This window comes from Homo sapiens, chromosome 12 (assembly GCF_000001405.40).
Source record: "Homo sapiens chromosome 12, GRCh38.p14 Primary Assembly".
Classification (NCBI taxonomy): domain Eukaryota; kingdom Metazoa; phylum Chordata; class Mammalia; order Primates; family Hominidae; genus Homo; species Homo sapiens.
In genome coordinates, this window is record NC_000012.12 from 57,332,390 (window position 1) to 57,344,952 (window position 12,563).

Consider the following 12,563-nt stretch of genomic DNA (forward strand, 5'->3'; position numbering starts at 1 on the left):
CCTGGAGTGAGACCCTGTCTCAAAAAAAAAAAAAAAAAAAAAAAAAGTAGGTGGCAAAGCTAGAATTCAACTCAAGAATGCCTCCAAATTCATGTTCTTTCTTTGATATCACACTGTTTTCTCAAAACGGTCTGCTGCTTTCCCAAATTCAGATCAGGATGGCTTTCCCAAATTTTCACCTAAGAGATCAGTGTTTCTCATTCAAAATAAAGCTTAGCAAGAAAAGATCTGCAAGATCTAAAAAACTGTGTGAACTGAGATTCAAGCTTATAACCTGTGAATCTAACGTGATACTTTTTTCCTCCTGCTTTGTGCTTATCCAATGAACCAAACCACATTCCTTATTCTTACCCTAAGGTGAGTTATCCAGTCAGATACTGAACACACTTTTTGTCCCTCTTTGCTTAATAGAGAATCTAAAATTGGTTTTTCCTGAGATGGAGGTGATGATATAATGATTCATATCTTACAGAGAGCTGAGTAGCTCAAAAGAAAGGAATAAACTCATGGGCCTTTGGATATCGCTTTCAATCCTTTAGCTCTGTAAATACCTAAGTATGAGAACACTGGGAGAGCAAAGAATAAGACCCACCATAATTTCTCAAGTATCCCTTGACATAAAGTGTAAGAAGGGAAACGCAAAACTCTTGACTTCTTTCATTTACAAGATCTAGAGAGGGAAATTTCTATGAATGAATCATTCTTATTCTCTTGGGCATTAAAATAGGAAAAGGAACATGCCATGATCTGCTATGACAAGGAACCAACACTGAGCTCAGTGAAATATCCCAGACCTAAGTCAATATATACAAACAAGCTAGAGAAGTAAAGATGGAAAACATGGAAGCTACCCCCAGCTATTCCTCTATCTCCAGACCAAAGAGAGAGACAACTATATAATGTTGACAGGGATCTACCATGTCAGATTGGAGTAGAAAAAAAAGAAAAACATGGAAGAAAAAAGCTAATAATTTCCGATGCAGATTTAAAAGCTATCAAAATAAGAAAGGCAGCTTCAGGCCAGGCACAGTGGCTCATGCCTGTAATCCCAACACTTTGGGAGGACAAAGTGGGTGGATCACCTAATGTCAGGAGTTTGAGACCAGCCTGGCCAACATGGTGAAACCCCGTCTCTACTAAAAATACAAAAAAATTAGCCAGGCATGGTGGCAGGCGCCTGTAATCCCAGCTACTTTGAAGGCTGAGGCAGGAGAATTGCTTGAATCTGGGAGGCAGAGGTTGCAGTGGGCTGAGATTGCGCCACTGCAGCCTGGGTGACAAGAGCGAAACTCCATCTCAAAATAAATAAATAAATACATAAATAAATATTTCTAGAGGGAAGGAGGGAGGAAGGAAGGAAGAAAGGAAGGGCACTGGATGTGGTGGCTCATGCCTGTAATCCCAGCACTTTTGGAGGCTGAGGCGGGTGGATGACGAGGTTAGGAGTTCGAGACCAGCCTGGCTAACGTGGCGAAACCCCATCTCTACTAAAAATACAAAAAATTAGCCGGGCGTGGTGGCACGTGCCTGTAATCCCAACTACTTGGGAGGCTGAGGCAGAAGAGCTTGAACCCAGGAGGCAGAGGCTGCAACGAGCCGAGACTGCGCCACTGCACTCCAGCCTGGGACAGAGCGAGACTCCGTCTCAAAAAAAAAAAAGAAAAAGAAAGAAAGGCAGCTTCACATATATAAAAAAAACCTCCTCTAGTCCAGAAGGTCATAGTTAGACTTAGACTTAGCACAAGCCCAACTGGCTGCAGTAGCAGCTCAATTCACAGATAGGTGGTAGGTATTTCCCACCATATCCTCCCCCAATCAAATCACATTAAGAATATGCAATTATCAAATTTATATTTAACAGCAAATTTAAAAAACACCTTACACCATTTTTGAAACATTTTATTTCACAGTTTCTATATACAGTTAGGGTGTTAATGTCACCTATTATCGAATAATAAATTCTGCAAAGTTAAATGATAATGTGTTTATGTTCTATCTGTTCATTGGCCCCTGGGTCAGCCAATCTGATCCAAGACTCCATGGCAACAGGCTCTATCACTAAGAGCCTCAAGATGAGATTTCCCTTGCCTTTTTTTTTTTGAAATAAAGCATTTTCCATAGAAACTGCTGCAAAAACTGTCAGAGAATAGTCTATACAGACAAATAAGAAATGCTGCCATTCTGTTATACTAAAAATGAATGGGGCAAGGAGTGAATAGCAAAGACAATCAATCTATGCAAATAACAAGGGATCCCAAAAACCCTGGAGATTTTTCCTTGTTGAATTTCAGTAAAGAAATTCAAGAATCTTTAAACTGCTGGAAAACCAACACCAGGATATATTGAGGAATCAGTGTAGGGATATATTGAGGAATCAGTGAGGAATCAGTGTTCAGCTAAATCACAATATTTAAACTTCCCATGCCTCAATATACGGAGAGCTAAAGACTTTAGTTTAGGACTGCTGGCCAGGTGTCGTGGCTCATGTCTGTAATCCCAGCACTTTGAGAGGCCAAAGCAGGAGTGTCACCTGAGGCTAGCAGTTTGAGAGCAGCCTGGGCAACATAGTGAGACCCCACCTCTACCAAAAAAAAAAAAAAAAGTTAGCTGGGTGTAGTGGTACCTCTGTGTAGTCCCAGCTACTTGAGAGGCTATAGCAGGAGGATCCCTTGAGCCCAGGAGGTTGAGGCTATAGTGAGCTATGATTGGGCCATTGCACTCCAGCCTGGGCAACAGAGCAAGACTCGGTCACTACAAAATATATAACATATATTTTTTCATATATATAATTTAGTACTGCTGATCTGTGTCAATCTCCCATACTTTTTATTTTTTTGACACAGAGTCTTGCTCTGTCACCCAGGCTGGAGTGCAATGGCATAATCTCAACTCACTGCAACCTCTGCCTCCTGGGTTCAAGTGATTCTCCTGCCTTAGCCTCCCAAGTAGCTGGGACTACAGACGCCTGCCACCACACCTGGCTAATTTTTGTATTTTTAGTAGACACGGGGTTTCACCATGTTGGCCAGGCTGGCCTCAAACTCCTGACCTCAGCCTCCCAAAGTGCTGGGATTACAGGCGTGAGCCATCACGCCCGGCCACCTTTTTTTTTTTTTTTTTTTTTAAGTGACAGCATCTTGCTATGTTGCCCATGCTGGAGTGCAGTGGCCTAGTCACAGCTTGCTGCAACTTTGAACTCCTGGGCTCAACCAATCCTCCTGCCTCAGCCTCCCAAATAGCTGGGACTACAGGCAGGTGCCACCATACCCAGCTAACTTTTTTTTTTTTTTTTTGGTAGGGACAGGTTCTTATTAGGTTGCCCAGGCTGGCCTTGAACTCCTGGCCTCACAAGATCTTCCCATGTCGGCCTCCCAAAGTGTTGAGATTATAGGTGTTAGCCAGGCATGGTGGCTCACCGTTGCAAACCCAGCAATTTGGGAAGCTGAAGCAGGAGGATGGCTTGAGCCTATGAGTTCCATCATCCATAAGGAACTTAAATGTACAAGAGAAAAACAAACAACCCCATTAAAAAGTGGGAAAAGGATATGAACAGACACTTCTCAAAAGAAGACATACATGCAGACAACAAGCATATGGAAAAAAAGCTCAATCTCACTGATAATTAGAGAAATGCCAATCAAAAACACCCACAATGAGATACCATACCATAGTATCTAATGGTATCTCATTGTGGGTTTTTTTTTTTTAATTTCATACCTCACACCAGTCAGAATGGCTATTATTAAAAAGTCAAAAAATAACAGATGCTGGTGAGGTTACAGTGAAAAGGAAACACTTATACACTATTGATGGGAGTGTAAATTGTTCAATCATTATGGAAAGCAGTATGATGGTTCCTCAAAGAGCTAAAAGCAGAACTACCATTCAACCCAGCAATCCCATTACTGAGTTTATACCTAGAGGAATATAAATCATTCTACCAACATAAAGACACATTCACATGAATGTTCACTGCAACACTATTCAGAATAGCAAAGACGTGGTCGATTTAGGTTTAATCAACCTAAATGCCCATCAATGACAGACTGGATAAAGAAAATGTGGTACATACACCATGGAATACTATGCAGCCATAAAAAAGAATGAGATAATGTCTTTTGCAGGAACAGGGATGAAGCTCAAGGCTATTATCCTTAGCAAACTAAGGCAGGAACAGAAAACCAAATACCGCATGTTATCACTTATAAGTGGGAGCTAAATGATAAGAACTTGTGGACACAAAGAAGAAAACAATACACACTGGGGTCTACATGAGCGGGGAGGGTGACAGGAGGGAGAGGACCAGAAAAGATAACTATTGGGTACTGGGCTTAACACTGGTGGCAAAATAATATGTATAACAAACCCCTGTGATACATGTTTACCTGTGTAACAAACCATCATATATACCCCCAAACCTAAAATAAAAGTTTAAAAAAAAAAAAAAAGAGGCTATGGAATAGAACAAAGGTTTCTAGAGCTAGGCAATGCTAATGTTTACATTACAAAATTGTCTTCCATGCTTTACTTATAAGTAGATTCTTGAAGTTGAAAAGTAATTTTTCAAATAAATTTTTGAAAATTATTTGTAAAAAAGTCTAGATCTCATGTGTTAGCACTTGAGTTCCAAGGGACCCACACAGCAGACTAACGTGAGAAGCAATAGACAGAATTTCAGAAATTCCTAAACCTGAGAAAATCTTTTCTGGAATGCTATTTCAAATTTCCCAAGAATTCTCTTTCTCTCTTTTTGTTGTTGTTGTTGTTGTTGTTGTTGTTTTGAGACAGGGTCTCGCTCTGTTGCCCAGGTTGGATGGAGTATAGTGGTGCTATCTCAGCTCACTGTGGCCCCAATCTCATGGGCTCAAGTGACCTCCTGCCTCAGCCTTCCAATTAGCTGAGCCTACAGGGCCATACACTTGGCTGAATTTTTTTTGTTCTTTTGTAGAGTCTGGATCTCCCTATCTTGCCTAGGCTGGTTTCGAACTCGGGCTCAAGGGATCTGCCTATCTTGGCCTCCCAAAGTGCTGGGATTGCAGGTATGAGCCACCGTGCCCAGCCCAAATTTCCCAAGAATTCTTAAGGCAACAACTCAGAAAATGGGGTAGAAGCAACTTTCAGTGGGAGTCATAAATTGTATTAAAGCATTTTTTTAAGTCACTGCAAAGAAAGTCACTAGTAGGCCTATCTGCACGTTAAATTTCCTCTATACCATCAGCAAAAACAAAAAACAAACAAAAAAACCCGAAACATTGCACTCTAGTTCTATAACCTTGTGTATGTGTGTAAAGATCTTGGGTTAGCAGATATAGAAAGAGAGCATATTTATTAATCTCAGAAGGACAAGAAGGTGCATGAAGAGGGTATCTTCTCAGAGATGTTACCTCCCAATATGAAAGCCCCAGACTCGAATCATAGGAAGCTATCTTTCTCAACTAATAATAGCAGCAGCTATCATTTACTGTATTCCAAACACTATGTCCAGGTTATACAGGTCATCACAATTATTTGAATTTAACAAATGCTAAAAATTTTCATCTGTCAGATATGAACACTAGAAATTTTTATATTTTTTAATTTTTATGATTAGAAAAGTACTGCAGGTTTCTTTATACTTAGAAAAAACACGCATGGCCGGGTGCAGTGGCTCACGCCTGTAATCTCAGCTCTTTGTGAGGCTGAGATGGGCGGATCACCTGAGGTCAGGAGTTCAAGACCAGCCTGACCAACATGGAGAAACCCTGTCTCTACTAAAAATACAAAATTATCCGGGCATGGTGGCGCATGCCTGTACTCCCAGCTACTCAGAAGGCTGAGGCAGGAGAATTGCTTGAACCCGGGAGGCAGAGGTTGCGGTGAGCCAAGATCGCACCATTGCACTCCAGTCTGGGCAACAAGAGCAAAGCTCCATCTCAAAAACAAAAACAAAAACAAAAACAACACGCACAATTATAGAGAAGAAAACAAACAAACAAAAATACCCATGATCAACAACTCAGAGATAACTGCTATTAACAACATGATGTTTTGAGATATCTCTTTCTAAACTTTGTTTCCATATTAGTACAGAATTTGTATCCATATTGGTTGGATATGTTCAAGTGATCCTCCTGCCTCAGCCTCCCGAGTAACTGGGACTACAGGCGTGAGCCACCACGCCCAGCTAATTTATTTGCATTTTTGGTAGAGACGAGGTTTCACCATATAGCCCAGGCTGGTCTCGAACCCCAGACCTCAAGTGATCCACCCACCCTGGCCTCCCAAAGTAACATGCTGGGCTTACAAGTGTGAGCCACAATGCCTGGTCCTGATGTTCATTTTAAAAACTCAATCTCGTACATGGCTTGAAAATCTCTTATGGCTTCCTCAAAAATTACATGTGATCTGAAGACACAAATAGTACATCCCCCTGCCATTTTTTTTTTTTCAAAGGGAGAGAGAGAGAGAGAGATAGGGTCTCATTCTGCCACCTGGGCTGGACTCTATTTCTAAATATTAATAATAATGGCTAATGCTAAGTCTTTAAATGACCAGGAACTGTCTTAAAAGATTTATTATGTATATATTAACTCTTTTAATCCTCAAAACAACCCTAGGAAGTGGGTACTAATTATTGTCTTCGTTTTACAAATGTGTGTGCATGTGTGTGTCTTTTTAAAAGGCAGAGTCTTGCTCCGTTGCCCAGGCTGGAGTGCAGAGGTGTGATCTCGGTTCACTGCAACCTCTGCCCAGTAGCTGGGATTACAGGTGTTCGCCACCATACCCGGCTAAATTTTTTTGTAGTTTTAGTAGAGACTGGGTTTCACCATGTTGGCCAGGCTGGTCTCAAACTCCTGACCTCAAGTGATCCATCCGCCTCAGCCTCCCAAGGTGCTGGGATTACAGGTGTAAGCCACTACGTCTGACCCATTTTACAAATGGAGACGTTAAATAATTTGGCCAAGGTCACAGAGCAGCAATTGGCAAAGCTGGGATTTGAATTCCAGGGGGCAAGCATTCAACCAGTAAGTTTTTTCTAAAGAGAAGCTCTTGGCAGATGTGGTGGCTCATGACTGTAATTCCAGCACTTTGGGAGGCCGGTGGGTGGATCACGAGGTCAGAAGTTCAAGACCAACCTGGCCAACATGGTGAAACCCCATCTGTACTAAAAATACAAAAATTAGCTGGATGTGGTGGCATGCACCTGTAATGCCAGCTACTTGGGAGGCTGAGGCAGGAGAACTGCTTGAACCCGGGAGGTGGAAGTTGCAGTGAGCCAAGATCATGCCACTGCAGTCCAGCCTGGGTGACAGAGAAAGACTCCATCTAAAAAAAAAAAAAAGAGAGAGAGAGAAGGAGAAGCTGTTAACAGTGAGAGCTGTTAAGGGAGTGGGCTAGGAGAGGAAGATATCAGAGAGAAGAGAATTAAGTAGGTATAGTAACTTTTAGGCACAGTAGTGTCCTTCCAACATATATATCACATTTTTAATTATCCCAAACGGGGTGATGCTAAAAACAACCATTTATAAAAGTTGTTCTTGATCTTTCCTTCTTCCAAAAACAAAAAACAAAAAAAGTAGGGAGAAAAGGGGATAAAAAGAAACAGAAATCTTACTTCTCTAACATCTTTCAATAGCTTTTCTTTTTCCTTGACCTCTTCCAAAACCTTGATGGTTAGAAAATAAAAGATTTCAAAAGAAGGCACTCCCAGTTGAAATAAAAAGAACTTTTGGCAATTTTTCCCTTGGTAATGACAAACATTTAAGAAAGACTTTAGGTCTATCTTATCTACCCTCAAATGAAAGGAAAACCAAGTAAACAAAACCGTCATCTTTTAATTTCACAGCAGTTTTCTTCCCCCTCAAAGGCTATTCCTGTCCTAGTTGCAGACAGGGAACTGCTCCCAGTGACGTCAGAGCAGTCTCCCAGCAACGATTAATGAGGGTTGTCCACCACAGGGGTTTCCTGAAAAGCTAGCAAGAAATTATCCACAAATTTGCTGCAATATCAAGATGCAAGGATGTGGTGGAATTTCCCTTAACCCTTATAGCTCCTGTCTCTGGCAAACATCTAAATAGGTTATTCTTCTAGAATTCTCTCCATTTGCCCTAGGATTATCTTCCTTTTTCTCCTCCTACCACACCCCACCCCCCAAAAATAGATTGTGTTGGTCTGAAACATTTATGGCTGTAATAAATATTAATATAATTGAACTATCATAGAAAAATAAGAATACCTAATGTAAGCTGAGAAGCAGACATTATTACTCTTTTCACTTCACACAAAGAATTCAGAGTAAATGAAAGCACAGAACAGAAGAGAAAATAAAGACAGAAAATAAACCAGCATATTTTTAAAGGTACTTTTCCACATATGTTACCTAAACACACATTGACAGATAGGTAAACCCTTAATTTTCCTAGGCTCTAGTTTACTGAGTTTTTCAAACTGACCTCTGCAGCCCTCTAGAAATCAGCGGTATTAAAATGGAATTGCATGAAAAGCGACTGGAAGCCCAGATACTCAATCCAAAAAAAAAAAAAATGGGTTGGGCTGTTATGCTCACACCTAAGAGTATATATAACAATTTCTTCCTAAAGCTTCGCTTTAGCTACATACATCAAAATTAGAATTTTGTTCTAAACTACAATGTCAAGGAATTTTACATAACTACCTATTTTTTAGGTCTGAGAAACAGTGTACAAACTGTCTGTGCAAATAAGGCAGAAAAATTCCAAATCCAAAACTCAACCAAAATTATTCATGGATCCTGGTTCCAGAAACCTGCTCATGAGTTCTTTATCTTTCCTTATTTAGAAAACGTAATTAGGTAAAATTAACAGCAGGACATATAGGGTTAATTCAGGCACCCTGCTTCAGCAATTCTGACTTCGGTCTGACCCTATTTTAAAAGGAAACAAACAAAATTATAGCACCTTTAAAACATCCCACTTTGGCTTCAGCTCTATTCAATGGCACCCAGTTACCAACATCAAGTCACAGAAGGAAGAACGCACCGCTTCAGATGGATTTTTCTTCTTCCTTCTCTCCGTCCCCTCCCTCTCAGAAGAAAAAGACTGCAAACAAAATCACTACGTCACTGGAGGTAGAGGGAATCCCATCTCTGCACTCTTTAGAAGCCAAGGCCAGCAAATAAAAACAAGCCAATTATAAGAAAAAGTAATACAAAATAAGAATAAATAAACCCAGAAGAAATCCATGTGACAATCTCAACACATCAAAAGGCATTTTTTAGTAAAAAGGTTTTAACAAATGCCTCCTAGGATGTTCATAATCAAAAAATCTCCCCAGACATAGCAAAGGCTTATCACATTTAAAGACTAGGGGATAGTTACGTAAAGATATAGGACAGACAGGCACATTCACCAGCCAGGTGCGGATAGCTGGGTAATGACACAGTGAAGGATATTTATAGGGGAATCCCTGCTTCCTGCAATGTGCGTCAACAGCATCACCAAAGAGAACAGAAATCACCACTGTTCTCATAAGCTGCATCTGAATGAAGCATTGCTTGAAATAGTCATGGAAGAGGTAAAATCTGAATAGTGTAAAAGTTCTAGCAAACCTAATTTTTATAATATTTTAAAGATAAAAAACAGCAAATGAAAATGCCTAAAACACCTTCACAAAACTTAGCACTTCAAAATTCTCTAATTTCCCTAGTGTGTACTATACAGTTAAATCAGCCAAGATAGAAAAATATCTTTATAGCTTCTTTCTACCCAGTCTGTGGAGTTCAAGGACTTTTATATAAAAAAAGAAAATTATCCAAAACTCACCCCAGATGGATCTGTACTTACACCAACAGCGAGCTCACATTATTAATGGAGACTTCATTGTAAAGATCTGTTCTGCCGGAATTTTGCCGGAAGAAATTCCTTCTGGGAAACCTGTGCCTCTTCCCCCACCCACAGCCCTCTCCCGCCCCCTTCACCCTTGAATGAAATGATACTGATCCTTGCTGCTGGAGCTCCAGCTAACTAACTGCTCTGACAAGCAGCTCTGAAGCCGACCATGGCCCAGCTGTTCAGAGAGATATCATCCAGAGCTCTGCCAACAGTCACACTGGCACATACACTCACAGACACAGACACAGGCACACACAGACACACACACACACACACACAGAGGCTGTAAGAGCACCCCCTCCCACCTCCTCTTCTCGCTCTCATTCAAGTACTTCAGTGGCACGCCTGCCTCCACACTGCTCTGAGGATAGCTTTTAAAGACACAGCAGCAGCTCCTTTCTGCTACATATGTCGAAATACCAAAATAGTCTCTTTAGTGAATAACAAGTTGGAAATATGTATTGAATTAAAAGCTCACCTTTAAATTTACCTTACCTTTTTCTCACCTGCAAAATAACTGAGGTCAGGGATATGATCTTTGCCTAAAAGCTACTGGGCTGGACTTTAGAAATGTAAAATTAAGACCAAACCTTGTTATAGAGAATTTTCTTGCCAGCGAGCTATATTTAGTAAAATTGTTTTTCATTTTGGGGCAGAAGGCAGACAGCACAGGATACCAGTAGCTATCTATTCCTCTTCCTATTATTTGCCCCCAAAGGAAGGGAAAAATACTTTGGCTATAAAATGAGGGAATAAGGAAACCATGAAGGCATCTTACTGACAGAACTGATGAAAAAGGATGGTAATGGAGAGTGTAAGTACAGGGATGACAATAAGTAGATTAAAATAAAGAAATTGGTACAAAGGAGACCAGGAAAGAAAAGTAATTATTTGAGAAAGTATACATGGCTCTGGAACGGCAAGCTTAGATATGACCCTCGGGTCTTAATTTTTTTTTTTTTTTTTTTTTGAGACGGAGTTTCACTCTTGTTGCCCAAGCTAGAGTCCAATGGCGCGATCTTGGCTCACCACAACCTCCGCCTCCCGGTTCAAGCGGTTCTCCTGCATCAGCCTCCCGAGTAGCTAGGATTACAGACATGCGCCACCAGGCCCAGCTAATTTTGTATTTTTAGTAGAGACAGGGTTTCTCCAGGCTGGTCAGGCTGGTCTCGAACTCCCGACCTCAGGTGATCTGCCTGCCTTGGCCTCCCAAAATGCTGGGATTACAGACGTGAGCCACCGAGCCTAGCCTCGGATCTTAATTTTTAAGAGCCCAAGGAAGGATAGTAATAATCTCTATTGCTCAGGAAGTAATGAACATTACAGGCAGTGCATGATCTGCAACAGCAAAAAATAATGTATAGCTATGGTCAAGGCATCCTGATGAAAACAATAAAACCTGTCACAAAAACACATCTATTTATTCATTCAGACAAATACTTGTCTGGTTGGGTTATTACTATGGACAGGAACTAAGATAAGCTCTAGGAATAAGAGATAGACTCATGAAGGGTCTTACAAAAGGTTAAAAAAAAAAAAAAAAAAAAAACAGGTTCTGGCTTTTACTCTGAGTGAGATGAGAAGCCTTAGGGGGTTGGAAGGCTGATCCCGCAGGGCCAAATCGACCACTGAAAGCAATCTAACTTTTACACTTCATGAGATGACAGGCCATTTGTGGTTTTTAAGCAGATGAATGACATGTTTTTGACCTTTATTTATTTCTTTGTTGCCCTGAAATTTTTACTTGAGAAATTTCTAACATAAAAAGAATTTGCAAAACCAGCACAACAATCACCTAGATACATATACAAACTTACGTATACACATATGTGCATGCATATATGTGCATATAAATTTTTTTCAGGTCTATTTGACATGCTTTCATGATGACTCTTCACACCTAAAACAATTCAGTACGTATCTCCTAACGTTAAGGTCATTCTGAACTATAAGAATAGCCATCAGCCAAATCTCAGATGAGTGGGTAGGTGATATACATGCAAGGCAGATCTAAATAGCAATGCAAAGCCTTCAAAAACTGAACAGACTTTGGAATCATCACTCACGAAAAGCTGCACGGAACTTGAAGTTGAACACAACCAGGTTGAATGTCTGCTAAAATTAAAGTCAATATTCACCACAGGATTTAAAGAAGACCCTGACATTCATGACATAATATTCAAATTTTCCAGGATACAATCTAAAATTTCCCAGCATATGAAGAATCAAGATAATTTGAATTTGTATAAGAAAAGAGATGAACAGTCAAAACAAGAAGATGATGCAAATGTTGAAATTAACAACCTCACATGACAAAAATATTCCAACAAGGTAGGACAAACATTCTTGAAACTAATGAAAAGACAGAATGTCTCAGCAAAGAAACAGAGGATATAAAGAAGAATCAAATGAAAATTTTAGAACTGGAAAATATAACAACCAGAACATAAAAACTCACTTGATGAGTTCAACAGCAGAACAGAAATGACAGGGGAAAGAGTCAATGAATTTGAAGTCAGATCAACAGAGGTATCAAATGTGAACACTGAATTTCAACACTAAAGGAAAAAAACTTCTCCTGTTTTTTTGTTTTTTGTTTTTTTTTTGAGATGGAGTTTTGCTCTTGTTGCCCAGGTTGGAGTGCAATGGTGCAATCTCAGCTCACCGCAACCTCCACCTTTCCACCTTCCTGGTTCAAGCGATTCTCCTGCCTCA

The 12,563-nt window shown here is 40.3% G+C and overlaps 1 protein-coding gene across 50 annotated transcripts in view; it reads right to left on the reverse strand.

The window, feature by feature from the left end:
- Positions 1-12,563, reverse strand: part of R3HDM2 (R3H domain containing 2) — a 177,378-nt gene that overhangs the window by 78,626 nt on the left and 86,189 nt on the right. For 5 of the 50 annotated variants that reach the window (NM_001351216.2, NM_001351215.2, NM_001330122.2 and 2 more), the window contains exon 1: positions 8,997-9,385. The exons of 39 other annotated variants lie outside the window; for them this stretch is intronic. The gene's annotated coding sequence lies outside the window, so the exon portion shown is untranslated. Of the gene's footprint in view, positions 1-8,915; positions 9,386-9,779; positions 10,068-12,563 lie in introns of those variants that run through there. 6 more of the 50 variants (NM_001351214.2, NM_001351205.2, XM_047428512.1 and 3 more) reach the window with 4 other exon arrangements.